The 18995-nt window shown below is 42.9% G+C and overlaps 1 protein-coding gene, 1 long non-coding RNA gene and 1 other non-coding gene across 3 annotated transcripts in view, besides 4 other annotated features; 2 read left to right on the forward strand and 1 right to left on the reverse strand.

The window, feature by feature from the left end:
* Positions 1-18995, forward strand: part of DOCK5 (dedicator of cytokinesis 5) — a 231023-nt gene that overhangs the window by 158058 nt on the left and 53970 nt on the right. Inside the window, exons 26-28 of the mRNA NM_024940.8 lie at positions 2729-2865; positions 8985-9080; positions 16217-16315. Coding sequence (NP_079216.4) covers positions 2729-2865; positions 8985-9080; positions 16217-16315 — 332 coding nt within the window. The remainder of the gene's footprint in view (positions 1-2728; positions 2866-8984; positions 9081-16216; positions 16316-18995) is intronic.
* Positions 2605-2664: an enhancer, noted in NCBI's record as "active region_27123". NCBI's record gives its function as "activates an Ori minimal core promoter by ATAC-STARR-seq in GM12878 lymphoblastoid cells {active_cell/tissue: GM12878}" and the evidence as "EXISTENCE:reporter gene assay evidence [ECO:0000049][PMID:35858748]".
* Positions 2647-2941: an enhancer, noted in NCBI's record as "tiled region #6380; HepG2 Activating DNase unmatched - State 17:Gen3', and K562 Activating DNase unmatched - State 20:ReprD". NCBI's record gives its function as "activates a minimal TATA promoter and a strong SV40 promoter by Sharpr-MPRA in HepG2 and K562 cells {active_cell/tissue: HepG2 | K562}" and the evidence as "EXISTENCE:reporter gene assay evidence [ECO:0000049][PMID:27701403]".
* On the forward strand, positions 2656-2728 carry MIR6876 (microRNA 6876). Its single transcript, NR_106936.1, has one exon. It is a non-coding gene; the product is annotated as a microRNA 6876 (primary transcript).
* Positions 7862-18766, reverse strand: LOC105379331 (uncharacterized). Its single transcript, NR_159962.1, has 2 exons — positions 18723-18766; positions 7862-7993 (listed from the first exon to the last, which is right to left on the reverse strand). It is a non-coding gene; the product is annotated as an uncharacterized LOC105379331 (long non-coding RNA).
* Positions 16975-17584: an enhancer, noted in NCBI's record as "NANOG-H3K27ac-H3K4me1 hESC enhancer chr8:25217237-25217846 (GRCh37/hg19 assembly coordinates)". NCBI's record gives its function as "activates a minimal SCP1, AML or CMV promoter by ChIP-STARR-seq in naive H9 embryonic stem cells {active_cell/tissue: H9 hESC(naive)}" and the evidence as "EXISTENCE:reporter gene assay evidence [ECO:0000049][PMID:30033119]".
* Positions 17585-18192: an enhancer, noted in NCBI's record as "NANOG-H3K27ac-H3K4me1 hESC enhancer chr8:25217847-25218454 (GRCh37/hg19 assembly coordinates)". NCBI's record gives its function as "activates a minimal SCP1, AML or CMV promoter by ChIP-STARR-seq in naive H9 embryonic stem cells {active_cell/tissue: H9 hESC(naive)}" and the evidence as "EXISTENCE:reporter gene assay evidence [ECO:0000049][PMID:30033119]".

Below are 18995 nucleotides of genomic sequence, written 5' to 3' on the forward strand. Positions count from 1 at the left end.
GGAGTGCAGTGGCGCAATCTCGGCTCACTGCAACCTCGGCCTCCCAGGTTCAAGCAATTCTCCTGCCTCAGCCTCCCAAGTAGCTGGGACTACAAGGACCTGCCACCAAGCCCAGCTAATTTTTTTTTATTTTTATTTTTAGTAAAGACGGGGTTTCACCACGTTAGCCAGGATGGTCTTGATCTCCTGACCTCGTGATCCACCCGCCTCGGCCTCCCAAAGTGTTGGGATTACAGGCGTGAGCCACCGCGTCCGGCTTGTTTGTTTTTTAAGACGGAATCTCACTCCCTCACCTAGGCTGGAGTTCTGTGGCACTGTCTCTGCTCCCTCTAACCTCTGCTTCCCAGGTTCAAGTGATTCTCCTGCCTCAGCCCCCTGAGTAGCTGGGATTACAGGTGTACATCACCACACCCAGCTAATTTTTTTTTTTTTTTGTATTTTTGGGAGAGGGGGGGTTTCACAATGTTGGCCAGGCTGGCCTCAAACTCCTGACCTCAAGTGATCTGCCCAACTTGGCCTCCCAAAGTACTGGGATTACAGGCATAATTACCGTGCCCAGTCAGCACTTGACTTTTCTTTTTTAAAAATGTCATTAATATTCTTGCCAGTTGTTTGTTGGCAACATTAATATTGTTGCCAGTTGTATGTAAGGACCTCCTGGGAGAGCGGTTTTAAGGAGAATCTAAAGTCAGCTCGGTATTTCCAACAGTTCCTAAAAGAGCAAAATCATGTGTTCCTTAATCTTTAATTAGAACAATCTGCAAGTGGTTCATTAATTAGAGAATTTTGTCTTTAAAACAGGAACCTCAGGAAGTAACAAGCAAGTAGGAAAAGATGACCCTTTTAAAAGAAATTATTCTTCTTTAGTCTATACTTATTGCATGACCTTAAAAACCAGGGGACAGGGAAACAGCAATGTGTTGGATCCCACAGGAGAGCTGGTTACATGCATCCCTTCTCAACCCCACGTTCAGTGATATCACATTAGTAGCTGGAAATTGACCATGGTGGAAGTCTTTACACCAGGGTAACTGGCAAACATGATAAAGCAAGCGTTTTTTTGTTTTGTTTTGTTTTGAGATGGAGTCTCACTCTTTCGCCCAGGCTGGAATGCAGCAGCATGAACTTGGCTCACTGCAACCTCCACCTCCCAGGTTCAAGCAATTCTCCTGCCTCAGCCTCCCAAGTAGCTGGGATTACAGGTGTGCACCACCATGCCCAGCTAATTTTTTTTGTAATCTTAGTAAAGCCAGGGTTTCACCATGTTGGCCAGCTTGTCTCAAGCTCCTGACCTCAGGTGATCCACCCACCTTGGCCTCCCAGAGTGCTGGGATTATAGGCATGAGCCACTGCACCTGGCCAAGCTGTTTTCTTTAGGGGGTAGGCTGGCAGAAGCCAGATTACTAGTATTCTGCTGGGAGAGGAGTGGGGCATGGAGGGGAAAAACTCTTACACTGATAAAATACTTTTCATTTTGTAAGTAGAGTCTAGCAAATAGCCACCAAGTGTTTCTGTCCCAAAGCTGATATAAACAGGAGGTCCAGCACCTGGGCCTTCCCAATAAACTCAAGACTTGCTAGAGTGAGGCAGCCACGGAGACTTCTTCTGGGGCTAACTACCTGGTCAGGGGCTCCCAGAGTGTAACCTCATTTTATGTATGTATATTGCCTGGAGATCTGAAGACCAGCAGGACTCCTCAACGTTAAACAAGTTGAGTGGATTGTTGGTGGGAGAGCCTTCCTGGCTTTGCCCCTGGCTAGTTATGTAACTGGACAAATGAGTGGCCTTCTCTAAGTCTCAGCCTCCAGTTCTGTGGAAGGAAGGACTTGAGCTAGATCGTATCAGTAGCCTCCTTGGGCTCTGATATTTTCTGACCCTATGAATTTGCACTTTGAAATTGCAAATGTTCCTAAGACACAATTGGAGGTAGAGGTAATGCCTGCAAAAGGTTAGTGAATGCTCATAAGTAGAAAACATTTATTACTAAAGCAAATTATTACTAAACATTTTAATATGCTTTGATCACTTTTTAAGGATACAGAAAAGGTAATTGAGATAGTAAAGATAAGGTGTTTGAGCAGAAGAGCAAGCATGCACTGGATAGTTCTACTTAGAGTGTGATCACGGTTAACAGTCATTTCTGTAGCATTCAGAGTACCTGAACTCATTATAAAATGTGTTACAATAGCAAAGATCTCAGAAGACATAATAGGTCATACCTTACTTTCTGAAATCCACACGCCTGCACAGACATGAGCAGAATGTCATTGACATGTACTAGGGAAGCTCAGTATTTATAGGAACTTTATTTATAGGAACTTCTTTCAGTAAATTTTCTCCATTAGGTGAAAAAATTTTTGAAAAAAAAAATGTATAACTTGCTTGGTTTTATTTGTTTCATATGACCCTCAATTTCGTGCATTAGGTTGGCGTTTTGAAAAGCTAGAGAAATTGTTAAATAATTTAAACATTTTGCTAAGTTCCCACCTTCACCTGTGAGAAGGGTCATTTTTTTTTTTTTTAATTCATTCATCTGCGCATTGAACAAGGGTAAAGTTCCGTGCCTAAAACCAGGTGTTCCTGGGTGGCCTGGAGGGGCTGCATCCCTGCAGGGCTGATTGCAGAGCTTAGAGCTACTGGTACTGGTCGAGGAAGAGTTGCAGGAAGGAGACAGGCAGTTCAGGAGGTGGCACTGCTGTGTGTGAGCTGTCTGTGTTTTCCTTCTCAGAGTGCAGAGAAGTGCTGCTGCCACTGCTGACAGACCAGCTCAGCGGCCAGTTAGATGACAACTCCAACAAGCCTGACCACGAGGCAAGCTCGCAGCTTCTGAGCAACATCCTGGAGGTGCTGGACAGGAAGGATGTGGTGAGTTGAGTCATCACTGATGCTGCACAGAGTTCACACTGTCCCCTTTGCACCAGACAGGAGTGACTCCGTGGCCTTCCTATTCTCAGGTAGTTTCCAGCTCCGGTATTAGGGCAGGCTGTGCCCATTTTAGAGATAATTAGGGAGGCCAGAGCCTCCAGTGCAAAGTCAGATTACTGCTGGGGCCTTCTGCAGGCTGATTTTCCTGGCTTGCCCAGTGTGCGCACTATTGAGATCCCTGTGACTTTTTTTTTTTGAGAGGGAGTCTCGCTCTGTCGCCCAGGCTGGAGTGCAGTGGCGCGATCTCGGCTCACTGCAAGCTCCGCCTCCCGGGTTCACGCCATTCTCCTGTCCCAGCCTCCCGAGTAGCTGGGACTACAGGCGCCCGCCACCACGCCCGGCTAATTTTTTTGTATTTTTAGTAGAGACGGGGTTTCACTGTGTTAGCCAGGATAGTCTCGATCTCCTGACCTCGTGATCCACCCATCTCGGCCTCCCAAAGTGGTGGGATTACAGGCATGAGCCATCGCGCCCAGCCCCTGTGACTATTCTTAAGAATCAAAGACCTGACTGGGCATGGTGGCTCAGGCCTGTAATCCCAGCACTTTGGGAGGCCAAGTCAGGAGGATCACTTGAGTCCAGGAGTTCAAGACTGACCAGCCTGGGCAACTTAGTAAGACTTTGTCTCTCTAAAAAATAATAATAATAATAAAAAATAAAGAATCAAAGGCCTTTCTGTTTTTATGCAGACACCTCTTCCTTCTTATCCTCTGATGCCTAACAACCTGATATTTCTGAGCTGCTGAGAAGTTCTCATTTCCATATCCTCTTGGACACTGATACTTTCTCTGGAACCTAATGGAAATTATGTTTTCTCATCTTGCGTTTTCTCTGTGACCTGGCCCCCATCCCTCTTGAAAACACAGGGCTAAGGCCGGGCGTGGTGGCTCACGCCTGTAACCCCAGCACTTTGGGAGGCCGAGGTGGATGGATCACGAGGTCAGGAGATCGAGACCATCCTGGCTAACACAGTGAAACCCTGTCTCTACTAAAAATACCAAAATTAGCTGGGCGTGGTGGCACGCGCCTATAGTCCCAGCTACTCGGGAGGCCGAGGCAGGAGAATCCCTTGAACCTGGGAGGCGGAGGTTGCAGTGAGCCAAGATTGTGCCACTGCACTCCAGCCTGGGTAATAGATTGAGACTCCAACTCCAAAAAAAAAAAAAAGAAAACATAGGGCTGAACCTGTCTGGATTCACCATGTCCTAGAAATAGTGCAGCCCACAGGCCTAGCAGAGCCCCCACACAGGAAGCTGGAGAACTTTGCAGAATGTGTTCACTCGAACAGTTGAGGGCTGAGAAAAAAAAAGCATCTTACCACAAATTATAGTTACCACGTCTATGGTGGTTTCATGGCACAGGTGTTCCCACAGAACAGGAAAACCACTCTTTGTCATCACCTAAAGTCTTTATCTTTCCAGTATCTTGGGATTCTGTCCTACCAAAGGATATGAATACTACACCTTTTCCCATAGCTAAACCGTTAGTTCACTTGTCAGGGTCCACCACCGTTTGACTACAGCCCACCTTTTCTCCTGCTCATGGTTTGCACTGGGATGTCTACATTTCTGTGAATCCACATTGCAGCCTCAGAAGTATGTGAGGGTACCATTGCCATCTCTAGCTGCTCCGCCAATCTCTGTCCCTCCACTTCCCTAAGCCCCTGTAGCCCACTTACTCTTTGCACTGCTTACTTGATATTTATTCATTATAGATCATTCCCCCTTTTTTTCATTAAGTATGTTTATAGAAACCACATTATAAAATGGAATACATTTTCTCAAAGCATGTTGCGATTGGAGATTTGGTTCCTAACCAAGGACTTTGCACCAAATACGTAAATGTGACCAATCACGTCATAAACTCAATACTTTTTTAAAAGTAACTCTTATAATTCAATAATTCCTTAAAATAATAAAGTAAAGCTCCACGCCCTATAAATTTGGCAGCAATGTACCTGGCACATTGGTTTAGCCAGGGATCAGTGTTCTAGAAATCATATGTTTATGATCCAAAGTTAATGTAAAACACAAGAATCAGAGCATTGGATTCTAGTCCCAATATTACCACTCTGCAGCTATTTGTCCTTAGTCAAATATCTCAGTGCCTCAGTCTCCTAACCCAGTCCATTGTATGTAGGAATTGTTCTAGACGACCTCTTTAGTCTCTTCCACTTCTGACCCTATTGTTTAATACATCACATCTCTACCAACCTTCTCACCACCCAGAAAGACTCTTTGGAAATGACTTGAATGTATTTAAATCCTGTGCAAGGAGATTTAAGTTAGCTTTTTATTTTGGTATTCCCAATATTATGTTCCCTGTAATGAGCAGAGACATTCAAAATTATCGATCTTGGAGCTCTGGTAAAGTAGTAAGTCCAATCGTTTTTTGTCCATCATGATGGTACCTTTTTTTCTTCATAAACATTTTGAAATATGTGCACTAGTTCAATATCTCTTCTCTTATCCTCTCATCTCCTTAGTTAACTCAAAGCTCTAATTACTGATATTTGTTCTTCCTGCCTTTTGTTTTATTTTTTTAAACATTGCAGGATTCCCTCCTCTCCCCACAGCTCTGTTTTGGAATTGTCCTGGTTCTTTCAAGTCCAGCTGCAGTAAGCACCTCTGTGAAGTTGTCTCTGGTGTGGTCCTGCCAAATTCTACTCATTCTTTTCATGCTCCCTTTGAGTTTCTTTTGAGGATTTTATCACTTTGTACATTGAGTTAGGAATGCAGCTCACAAATCCTTGGGAAGCTGCTCTTATGCTCCAGGCACTGGGATCAGCTAGGGCTATGACAGTGAACTAGAGAAGCAAGCACCCTACCCCCAGGAGCCCACCTTCTAGGGAGATTCTTGTGTTATGCTTATTTAAATGTATGTCCCAGCTGGGTGCAGTGGCTCAGGCCTGTAATCCCAGCACTTTGGGAGGCTGAGACAGGTAGATCACGAGATCAGGAGTTCGAGACCAGCCTGACCAACATGATAAAACCCCATCTCTACTAAAAATACAAAAATTAGCTGGGCGTGGTGGTGCGCACCTGTAACCCCAGCTACTCTGGAGGCTGAGGCGGGAGAATCACTTGAACCCGGGAGGCAGAGGTTGCAGTGAGCCAAGATCACACCACTGCACTCCAGCTTGGGCAACAGAGCGAGACTCTGTCTCAAAAAAAAAAAAAAAAATTTATGTACCACTCACCCGCACCCCCACAATAGAAATCTCTAAAGGCTCAGAGGAGCCTTATTCATTTCATACCCTCCCCACAAGGCACAGCGTGTAACTTGCACAACTATTTAGGGCCACACTAAGGAAATGTTATGTAAATGGAAGTGAAAGCAGCATCTCCTGGAGAGGCTGATTTTATGAATCACTTTCATTCAGGGAAATGGGAAACAAGTAAATGACTAATAAAAAGTGAAGGAGGAAGAGAAGAAGGGACAGAGGGAAGCAGAGAGGGAGGGTGGACCCCAGGTACTTGATACTGTAATTAAAATACATATAGCCATACCATAATTGAGAAGTCAAAAAACAATAGATGTGGGCATAGACGTGGTGAAAGGGGAACATTGTTACACTGCTGGGGGAATGCAAATTATTAGTACGACGACTATGAAAAACAGTATGAAAAACTATGAAAAACAGACTATGAAAAACAGGGAATGCAAATTATTAGTATGACAACTATGAAACATGTTTAAAGAACTAAAAGTAGAAGTACCATTCAATCCAGCAATTCCACTCCTGGGCATCTACCCAAAGGAAAATAAGTCATTATATGAAAAAGATACATGCACGTGCATGTTTATAGCAGCACAATTTGCAATAGCAAAGATATGAAACCCATCTAAGTGTCCATTGACCAATGAGTGGATAAAGTGTGGTATATATGCATCATGGAATATTACTCACTCATAAAAAGGAACAAAATAATGTCTTTTGCAATAACTTAGGTGGAGATGGAGGCCATTATTCTAAGTGAAGTAACTCAAGAATGGAAAATCAAATATTATATGTTCTCACTTATAAGTGGGAGCTAAGCTATGAGAATGCAAAGGCTTAAGAGTGATATTATGGACTTTGTGGACTTTCCGGGGAAAGGCTAAGAGGTGGGTGAGCGATAAAAGACTACGCATTGGGTACAGTGTACACTGCTTGGGTGATGGGTAAACAAAAATCTCAGAATCACCAATAAAGAACTCATCCATGTAACCAGAAACCACTCGTACCCCCAAAACTATTGAAATCAAAAAGAAAATTCCTACAGCCATAGACAAATCCTACCTGATCTGACTTCTATGTGGAATCTAAAAAAGTTAGACTCCTAGAAGCAGAGAGTAGAACATTCTTTACCAGGGGCAGGATGGGGAGATGTTGATCAAAGGGTAGAAAGTGTCGGTTATAGGATGAGCAAGTTCTGGGAATCTAATGTATGGCATGGGTGGCAATAGATGTGTTAATTTGACCGTGGAAATCATTACACGATTACGTGGATCAAATCTTCATGTTGTACACGCTGGATAAGTACAGTCTTTGCCAGTTAAATTTGTAAAAGATAATAAAAATGTTAAGCAAAAAAATACAAATAGCAATGATTTAGTTATTTGAAGCATTAAGCAGGAGTTTCAAAGTATCTATCATAAAGCAAGGACAGATAGAGGCTATGAAAAGTCAAGTTGCATGTGGGTAAGTCGGAGCCAAATGAGGGTAATATCTAGCTACAAAAAAGGAAAGAAGGTGAAAGAAAGAATGTGTACATCAGCCCTACTAATTCCAATAAGAAAACTGTTACTGTCCCCCTTTTGCAGCTATGAAAACTGCAAGCTCAGCGAAGTTGAATAATTGCTCAAAGTCACACATGACACAGTCAGAATACAAAATCCTTGTATTAGTCTGCTCAGTCAGTCTTCTATAACAAAATACCACAGACTGCGTGGCTTAAACAACAGACATTTATTTTCTCACAGTTCTGGAGACTGAGTTTCTGAGATCAGGGTGCCAGCGTGGTTAAGTTTTGGTTAGGTCTCTCTTCCCAGCTTGCAGACAGCTACCTTCTTGCTGTGTGCTCACCTGGTGGAGAGAGAGATCCACATCTGTGATACTCATTTACTAAGAGCATTTATCCCGTCAGTCCAGGGCCCCACCCTCATGACCTCATCTAACCTTCATTACATCTCAAGAGCTGCATCTCCTAATACCATCACGATGGGGGTTAGGGCTTCACATATGAATCTGGAGGAGACACAAACATTTACTCCATAACAATTCCCTTGACTTGAATTTCTTGTTTTTTTCCCTCCAACACAGAAGGTGGTAAGAGCTTTGTATTTTTGCCTTTAATTTCCCACACATGTGCCTAATTGACCTGAGCAATTCTTTTATTTTTATTTTTATTTTTATTTTTTTGAGATGGAGTCTGGCTCTGTCACCCAGGCTGGAGTGCAGTGGCGTGATCTCAGCTCACTGCAAGCTCCACCTCCTGGGTTCCCGCCATTCTCCTGCCTCAGCCTCCCGATTAGCTGGGACTACAGATGCCCGCCACCACGCCCGGCTAATGTTTTGTATTTTTTAGTAGAGACGGGGTTTCACTGTATTAGCCAGGATGGTCTCGAACTCCTGACCTTGTAATCCGCCCGCCTCAGCCTCCCAAAGTGCTGGGATTACAGGCGTGAGCCACCGCACCTGGCCTGACCTGAGCGATTCTAATCTGCTCAACCTCAGAACAGAATACGTCATGCTAATGGGGGTCCCCCAAAACTATTTGTTGAGTCAGTGGCCACAGTGAGCTCTCAGTGAACCTGAGCAATCTGAGTTATTAAGAAGGCACTCATCCCTGCACAGCCACATTCATCTTTTAAGTGTTATGACTGATCATTTTCAACTATTTTCTTCATAAAGTTATATATTATTCTGTGAGACCATTTTCCACTTTTGGACAAGAGATTGCTTTGTAGGGAAAAGCCAAAAAGAGATCTAAAGACAAAACTCATCTATCTGAGGTTCCTTAAAGAAAGTGAAACTGAGTCAGAAGGAATGGAGTCAAATCCTGTGTTCCCTGCAGGGTGCCACTGCGGTGCACATTCAGCTTATAATGGAACGGCTGCTGAGAAGGATCAACCGGACAGTGATTGGGATGAACCGGCAGTCTCCCCACATCGTGAGTATCTCTTTGTTGGATCCCACGGCCGCTGCTGTTTCTCTGTCCCCTTTGCCTATCGGGAGGCCTTCGGGGCCAGTGGCTTGAGACTATTCTTCACATGGGCCTCTCACATCATGGGTCATTGGTTATAACCTTAGCAGATCTTGATTCTGACATGGATTTTCTGTTGAGAGAAAATAATCCAGCCTAGGCAATATAGTGAGACCCCATCCCTACAAAAAATTTAAAAAATTAGCTGGGTGTGGTGGTGGCACGTGCCTGTGGTTGCAGCTACTCAGGAGGCTAAGGTGGGAGGATCACTTAAACGTGAGATGTCGAGGCTGCAGTGAGCTGTGATTGCACCATTGCATCCTAGCCTGGACAACAGAGCAATAGCCTGCCTTTGAAAAAGAAAAAAAAAAAAAAAGCAGCAAGCAGGGAGGGAAGGGAGGGAGGGAGGGAGGGAGGAAGGAAGGAAGGAAAAAAGGAGAGAAAAGAAGAAAAGAGAAAAGAAAGAAAATGATCCAGTATGAACCACCCAGCCCCTTTGATTCAAGGAAGAAACCAAACATTTTAAAGAACCTGTGGTTAGCATGCTTGTGGAAAGGCCATTGTTGGTCTGGCCTCTTATTTTCTGTGCACTCTATCTAAACAGATGCCGGGTAACAACTATGATAGAGGCCATAGGTAGCTGTTGAAAGGCTAAGTGGTGTCATCATTAAAGTGAAGCATCTTTTACTTCCTATATTAAAAGCTTCCTATATTAAAATCGAATTAGATTTTAATTAGAGGACATAGGAAAAGAACTATTTCAAATTCCTATCAGATAAGAAAAATTCATTTATTTCACAAATACGTATTTAAAAACTGCCATAAAACAGGCACTGCTCTGGACACTGAAGAGGTACCCATAAACAAAACAGAAAAATCACTGCCTTTGAGGAGCTGACATTCCAACAATAATGACAGCAGTTACAGCAAAATAAACTACATAGTGTTAGGAGGCAACAGGGGCTAGAGAGAAAAAAAATGAGCAGGATAAGGGAAGTGAGGGTGGGGAGTCACACCTTTAAATAAGATGATTAGGAATTTTACCAGAGAGGGTAAAATTTGGGTAAAAACTTGAGGAAGGTAAGGGAGTGAGCCATGTGGCTATCTGGGAAGGGTCTTCCAGGGAGAGGCCACAGCCATAGCAGAAACCCTAAGACATGCCTGGTCAGAACCTGTAGGGTGATGGAGCTGATCCTAATAAGAATAAAGAGAAACGATTGCAAGTAAAACTGTCTTTCTGCTGGATTAAAACCCAATCTCTGAGCCGAGGAGTTCGAGACTGGCCTGGGCAACACAGCAAGACCCCATCTCTACAAAAATTTTTTAAAAAATTAGCCAGGTGCAGTGATTAGTGCCTGTACGCCCAGCTACTCTGGAGGCTGAGGCAGGAGGATCGCTTGAACCCAGGAGATCAAGGCTGCAATGAGCTATGATCTCGCCATTGCACTTCAGCCTGGGTGACTGAGTAAGACCCTGTTTCAAAATATAAAATAAAACAAAATAAAATAAAAATCCAAGCTCATCCAAAACATATTATAAAAGGATTTAGATCTTGTATTAGTGGATTATCAGTTAACTAGACTAGTCCTACATCTTTTTCTCAAGGAAGTATCTGAGGGAACAAAGACTAATATGGAAATTGGAGAATTCCTCATGTAAAATCAAGGCTTTTATCTTTAGAACAGTCAGATTGTTGGCAAGGAAATACTATTTTTTTTTTTACCAACAGAAAGAGGGAATAAAACCTAAAATCTATCAATTACTTTTTATTTCTAGGCCCTGATAATATTGCTGTTAATCACTTGTGCAAAAATAAAATCTATAGCTTAACTGATCTGTCTTTTCCACCCATTGACTATTGAAGGGTAAGAATGACTTAGGAAGCTGGGTGCGGTGGCTCATGCCTGTAATATCAGCACTTTGGAAGGCTGAGGCGGGCAGATCACCTGAGGTCAGGAGTTCGAGACCAGCCTGGCCAACATGGTGAAACTCTGTCTCTACTAAATATACAAAAGTTAGCCAGGTGTGGTGACACATCTGTAACCCCAGCTACTCCGGAGGCTGAGGTAGGAGAATTGTTTAAACCCAAGAGGTGGAGGTTGAGGTTGCAATGAGCCAAGGTCACGCCACTGCACTCCACCCTGGGTGACAGAGTGAGACTTTGTCTTAAAAAAAAAAAAAAAAAAAAACAAACAAAAAAAAAAACGTAGGAGAGAAAACTAGTCAAATCACTTATATGTTTTATATGTTTAAAAGTTGGGCATGTTTTAACAGCATTGCTTCACTAATCCCTTTATAATTTACTGAAATTACTAACAGATGGAGTGCAATTTAGCAGATCAAGATGGAAAAAAACAGGATTGAAGAACATTGCGTTATGCTAAAACTGATATACTTTTAGAGTATTTTACATATTTTGTGAAATTTAAGAAAAGACAATGTACCATTAATTGCTATTGCCAAGCCATTTCTATCATACATTATAAAGAAAGATTGATATGGGAAATGATATATTGGCTATAGATAATTACATACTTGAATTCAAATTTCCTGAGCTCCTTTTAGGAATCAAATTGCATGTTGTCTCCCTTGTTTAAACTCACTCAAGGACATCAGCTCCATATGTTTGAAGGGAAGGGCAGGACTGGATGTAAAGGCAGCAGTACTCCCGCCGTGCTTCCGCTAACATGAAATGAGAGTGGGAATGACTTAGATCCACGGAGTGATGGCGGTGCCAAAAGAAGCAAAGTGAAGTGGGAATGATAAGCATAAGAAGGAAAAAAAGTGAGGGGAAAATGTACAGACAGACACAGACAGTCGCGAAGAGAGATGTGGAAAAAGAAAATCTACATGGCTTGATACAGTTTATTCCAGATATTCAAGAATGGTTAAATATTAGGAAATACATTTATAAAATAACATCAATTCAATAAAAGGAAAAAAGCCTTATAATTTTCTTCATAGATGCCAAAATGGTATCTGATTATTGTTACATTTTTTCCCAAATCAAGAAGAGGAGGGAACTTTTTAGCGTGAAATCACCAGGCATCATGATACTCAATGGTCGTTAAAAAAGGGAATCAAGATATTTAGGCCAAGCACAATGGCTCACACCTGTAATCCCAGCACTTTGGGAGGCTGAGGCAGGAGTATTGCTTAAAGCCAGGAGTTTGAGACTAGTGTGGGCAACATAGCAAGACCCTGTCTCTACAAAAAAATTAAAAGTTAGCCAGGCATGGCAGCATGTGCCTGTAGCCCCAGCTGCTTAGGAGGATGAGGCAGGAGGCTTGCTTGAACTCAGGAAATTGAGGCTGCAGTGAGCTGTGAAGGTGCCACTGTGCTTCAGCCTGGGTGACAGAATGAGAACCTGTCTCTATTTAGAAAAAAAAAGGTATTTAATTTCAACACTGTTGTTTAGCTTTTTCTATAATTTCTAGCCAATGTAATAAGAAAAAGATACTAAACATAAATATTGTAAAAGTAAAAATAATTGTCATTATTTTTAGCTGAAATGACCAGCATATCTACAAAACCCAAGAGGGTTTACTCAAATTTTAGTAAAACTAATAAACAATTTATTAAACTAACCTGTTTATTTATTTTGTTTTGAGACAGGGTGTCACTCTGTCAGCCAGGCTGGAGTGCAGGGGTGCTATCTCGGCTCACTGCGACCTCCACCTCCCAGGTTCAAGTGATTGTCCTACCTCAGCCTCCCAAATAGCTGGGGTTACAAGTGTGTGCCCTGACACCCAGCTAATTTTTGTATTTTTAGCAGAGACGAGGTTTTGCCATGTTGGCCGGGCTAGTCTTGATCTCCTGACCTCAAATGATCCACCCGCCTTAGCATCCTAAAGTGCTGGGATTACAGGCATGAGCCACTGCACCCAGCCTCTAACCTGTTTTAAAATAAATGATATTTAATGCCTGTTCTTTAACAATGGAAGCTATTTAGAGATTATAAATAAGAAATTCTATTTAATTTAGTCACAAAAATATCAGAGTAAAAATAAATACTAGTTACAAATAAATAGCCAAATAGAAATAATAATGGGGCCTGGCATGGTGGCTCACGCCTGTAATCCCTGCACTTTGGGAGGCTGAGGCGGGCAGATCATGAGGTCAGGAGATCGAGACCATCCTGGCCAATATGGTGAAACCCCGTCTCTATTAAAATACAAAAAAAAAAAAAAAATAGCCAGTTGTGGTGATGCATGGCTGTAGTCCGAGCTATTGGGAGGCTGAGGCAGGGGGAATCACTTGAACCCCGGAGGCAGAGCTTTCAGTGAGCTGAGATCGCGCCACTGCACTCCAGCCTGGTGACAGAGCGAGACTCCGTCTCGAAAAAAACAAAAAATACATAATAATGGAGAGCTTGCCTGTCAGACTTAGTGGACACATATCAGCAGAACAGAACCATGATAAGTGAAAAGGAGACTTTGGATTATATGAACATTTCATTACCTTTCTAAAGGGAAAATGAAGGTTTTTAGTAAATGTTATTTAGAAAATTAGTTAACAATTTGGGGCTGGGTGCGGTGGCTCATGCCTGTGATCCTAGCACTTCGGGAGGCTGAACCTAGCAGATTGCTTGATCCCAGGAGTTGGAGACCAGCCTGAGAAACATGGCAAGACCCTGTCTTAAAAAAAATACACAAAAATTAGCCAGGCATGGTGACATGCGCCTGTAATCCCAGCTACTCAGGAGGCTAAGATGTGAGGATCGCTTGAGCCCCAGGGAAGTCGAGGCTACAGTCAGCCATGATCGCCACTGCACTGTAGCCTGAGTGACAGAACGAGACCCTGTCTCAAAGAAAGAAAAAGAAAATTAGTTAACAATTTGGAAAAAATTTGTTCAACTTCATGCTATACCCACAAAATAAATGTCAGAGTGAAGTGTTCAATTAAAAAAAGTTGTATCATAAAGCACTAGAATAAAATAATAAATAGATAACTGATTTGAGGAGGAATAGGATTCATGGATTTTTTATAGTTAAAATACAAGAAAACAATTTTACTAGATAAAATTTTAAATCCCTCTATATGAAGATTATATATATATATATATATATATATATATATATATATATGCAAATTAAATGTCAAGTCCCAAGCTTTAAAAATTTTGTAATATAGGTGACAGGTGGCTAATAAACTTAATATACAAAAGCTATTATAAGCCACTAAGCAAAGATATTGTTTTAGTAGAAAAATGAGTAAAGAATGGGTGCAAACAGCAACATGAGAAAGCTAAATGGCCAAAAAGTTCATGGACAGACTGTTTAATTTAGAGAAAAGGAAATGAAAGTGCAAAGTGAGATTAAACCTCTGAGTATTAAACCTCAGTGTTAAATTCTGAGTATTAAACCTCTAATACTCAGAATAGGCAAGGTCTTGGAGAAACAAATTGTGTTAGACACCGTTGGGAAAACAAGCTATATGATAATTTGGCAATATATATATATCAAAGGCCTTAGTACAATAAGTTTATACTGCTTTATAATTGAAAAAATAAACTTTTTTTTTTTTTTTTTTTTTTTGAGACAGGCTCTGGCTCTGTCACCCAGGCTGGAGTGCAGTGGCAGAATCTCGGCTCACTGCGTCTCTGCCTCCCAGGTTCAAGCAATTTTCCTGCCTCAGCCTCCCGAGTAGCTGGGATTATAGGTGCCCACCACCATGCCTGGCTAATTTTTGTATTTTTAATAGAGATGGGGTTTCACCATGTTGGCCAGACTGGTCTCAAACTCCTGACCTCAAGTGATCCGCCCACCTTGGCCTCCCAAAGTGCTGGGATTACAGGTGTGAACCACCCCACCAGGCCTAAAAAATAAACTTTTTAAAACAAAAGAGACAGTCTAAGGCATACGTTCAGAAAGAGATAGACATGGACAGTCTTTCATTGTTCTGCTTGGGGAATCTTTCCCTCTGTTTTAGAAACAGCTGTATGTTCATCTGTCCTGTGCTAAATTCCTTTGTGTTATTTTCATAGCTGCATGAATACAGGAGGTTAGCACCCCTGGATCTTTACTCCCTGTCTAAAAAACTAAGTCTATAATTCACATTTTTTTGGTCTAGGGGATAGCACCTTGAATATGTAATTCCTGAACTCACAAATGGAAGCAGTGTTAATGAATCATCTAGTTATTGATTTTTTCTCTTCAAGTCAGGGTCACAATTCACGTGGGTAGTATGTTGGAACAACTGGCTGAAGGGCTCTGGAGTTGGAGAAGCGGTATCAGGTTGTATTAGTCCGTTCTCATGCTGCTAATAAAGACATACCTGAGACTGGGTAGTTTATAAATTGGGTAGTTTATAGAGGAAAGAGGTTTAATTGACTCACAGTTCAGCATGGCTGGGGAGGCCTCAGGAAACCTACAATCATGGCAGAAGAGGAAGCAAACGTCCTTCATCACATGGCGGCAGCAAGAAGTGCCAAGCAAAAAGGAGGAAAACCCCTTGTAAAACCATCAGATCTCGTGAGAACTCACTCACTATCACGAGACTAGCATGAGTGTAACCGTTCCCATGATTAAATTACCTCCCACTGGGCCCCTCCCACAACACATGGGGATAATGGGAACTACAATTCAAGATGAGATTTGGGTGGGGACACAGCCAAAGCATATCACAGGTATTCTAGCAGGGAGTTTTCATCATCATCGCTTGCCCTCCTCTCCTTCATGCTCAGTGTTGCCACCTCTTTTCCTGCTAGCCTTCCTCCCCGTTAAGATTTGTTTAACTAATCTAAGTATTTCAGACATTTCTCCATGGAATTCTATACTACAGCTCTGTCTCAACAAGAAACCCAAAGCCCCACAAGTTGTTACATCTTCACTGGTAATCTCATTGAGGTGTCCTGTCTATAGGATTCCACACTTCTTAGCTGTTAATGAGATTTCTTCACTCAGACCTGGAAGGAGGTGGTTTGAAGCAGAAACCGCAAAGCACGTGGCCTTTGGACCTTTAGAATGCAGCGTGTTTCCAGTGTGGTGGGATACCTGCGTGGCTCAGTGGGTGGGAAAAGCCAAGTTCATGGGGCTCACATAGTGTTTTTGTCAGTTGGTGGTCTAAGGAGTCTTGGATTTGTGCTTTCCTTTTCCTTCCAGGGGAGTTTTGTGGCTTGCATGATTGCCCTGCTGCAGCAAATGGACGACAGCCACTATAGCCACTACATCAGCACTTTCAAAACCAGACAAGACATCATCGTAAGTTGCCTTTACTGGTCCTGGTAACCTGAAGACTTCTTAAATTTGGTTTAAAAAAATGACTGAAGCTGAGCATCGTGAGTCCAGGGTTCTCTTCCCACGCACCTCCGGTGCTATGTGGCTGTCCACAGTGATTACAGAAAGGAGAGAGCTGATTCCTACTTTCTCTCTTTGATAGGATTTGAAAAAGAGTACAACACATATACCAAGAGGTTATCACACACTTTAATCTCTCTTGGATTTAGAGAGAGCCCTTATTTAGCAACATTTGGGAGATGTTTTTTGCTCTGAAAACAGGACTTAATACTTGGTACAGTAACTACTCATGGCAAGGATTTTAGAAGGCAGGGGTGTGCAAAGTCTCCTAAGACGTGGTTGATACCATCATTTTGGAGAGGGCAACAAAAAGAGGTAATCCCTGCCCTTTACAACTGGTCCGTGTGGCCTGTTAGGAACCTGGCCGCACAGCAGGACATGAGCAGCAGGCCAGCAAGCATTAACTCCTGAGCTCCGCCTCCTGTCAGATCAGCAGAGGCATTAGATTCTCATAGGAGCTGAATCCTATTGTGAACTGCACATTCGAGGAATCTAGGTTGCCAGCTCCTTATGTGAATCTCACTAATGCCTGATGATCTGAGGTGGAACAGTTTCATCCCAAAACCATTCCTGCCCCCATCCGTGGAAAAATTGTCTTTCCTGAAACCTGTCCCTGGTGCCAAAAAGGTTGGGGACTCCTGCTTTACAATATTTGTAAGTTATCTTCAGATGAAAATATTTTGTTCTCTATTGTTTTAAGCAGGAAAATTGTTCTCATAGTTGCTGTGAAGCACTCATCTAAGAAGCTGAGTTAGGCCTCCGGCTGTGGCTTCACGGCACCTTCCCTTCAGGGGATTATTAGTGGCCCTTCAGACGTCCATGAAGGTGTTATTAGACTTTGCAGAGCAGTGGACAGGATGTGCCGCTGGATTAGCACACTGTTGTCATGTTGACACTAGTCTTTGGATAACTTCCCATCATCTGTGCGTACTCCAGTCTCTTTGTTCTAGATTTTCCACTTTCTGCCTCTGTCATGCTGAGTAGATGGCCAGTGCCCCCATGGATTCGCAGCTCCTTCCTTGCCCATTACCCACCTTTCTGCCATGCCCACATGGTGGACAAACATACAAGGAATTGGAAGGAAAGTGCTGTTTGTTATTATTAGTTGGTTCCATGGTGGACTCTCAATGCCGTGTTAGACTACGTGGCTTTAGCTGAAGGTCTCCATGAGCCTCTGCTTGGGCCATACCCTGGCAGGCAGCATGGCATGGGAACCATAGCAATATGTAGATGTGCCTGTGGAGACCAGGCGCAAGAGGCCCAGTATGGGGGGTGGGGGGTGGAGGAGGAAGCCCAAGGTTAGCCATGTGTTCTCTACAGGCAGGTGGTGTAGCGGGTAAGAGCACAGGCCTTAGAACACGCAGCTCTGGGTTTGAATTCTGACCATTCCACTCCCTTGTATGCAATTTGGGGCAAGCGGTTTAACCTCACTGAACTTCAGTCTCCTCATCTGTAAGATAGTACCCACCTTGAGGGTTAATTAAGTGTTGCTTGGCTCCATGCATGGGAAATGCCCAGCTTCGTGCAGGTAGGCATGTAGCTAATGCCTATGAGGACTAGCTGTTTGTAACAATAATTGTATTATTATTGCTATATAAAGTAAAATTAACAATAAAAATTCTAGGGATTTTGTTTCAAATTTCCTTCAGAGAGCAGGCAAAATAGGGAGGTTTTAAGGTCAAACCGTGACAATTTGGCTCCATTGTTAAGTAAGAAAAAAAGGGGCGTACCTCCTGTTTGCCAGCATGGTGTTGAGCTCCTCCAGCTGTATTATGTAATTAAAAGAGGATCATTATCCTCACGAGGGAACTAAGACCTGGAGAAATGAGGGAACTTGCCTGAATTTAGTCCCCGGTGGCTGAGCTACCGTGCACAGCTAGGCCTTTGCCTCCCAGTGGCCTTTCAGTCCCTCATGCTGCCTTCTGAGTGAACCGCATGAAGGCCCTTGGGAAGTGGTGGATAAAACCAGGCTTTGGGATTCCCTGTGAGTTCCATCATGCCGTCTCATTAATTTAGATTTCCAGGAGTTAAATAGAGAGTCTGTATCTGAAGCAAATAACAAGTATCTAAATTCAATCCTTGCTTCACAAACCATGAATTCTTATGGATTTAGAAGAAAAGTTAACAGAATGGCCAATAAATTGGTGGAAGCACTTAAAATATATAATGAGGCCGGATGTGGTGACTCATGCCTGTAATCTCAGCACTTTGGGAGGCTGAGGCAGGTGGATCACTGGAAGTCAGGAGTTCGAGACCAGCCTAGCCCACGTGATGAAACCCCATCTCTACTAAAAATACAAAAAATAATTACCCAGGGGTGATGGCAGACACCCGTAATCCCAGCTCCTGGGGTGGCTGAGGCAGCAGAATCGCTTGAACCCGTGAGGTGGAGGTTGCAGTAAGTCGAGATTGTGCCGCTGCACTCCAGCCTGGGCGACAAAGCAAGACTCCATCTCGAAATAAATAAATAAATAAGTAAATAAAATATATGATGAAACGAATTTGAATTCATTAATTATGTCTAGGATTTCAGAACTGAGGGTGGGTATGTCTAACTCGCCATAAAACCAGGGGAGAATCCACA

This window comes from Homo sapiens, chromosome 8, assembly GCF_000001405.40.
Source record: "Homo sapiens chromosome 8, GRCh38.p14 Primary Assembly".
NCBI lineage: Eukaryota > Metazoa > Chordata > Mammalia > Primates > Hominidae > Homo > Homo sapiens.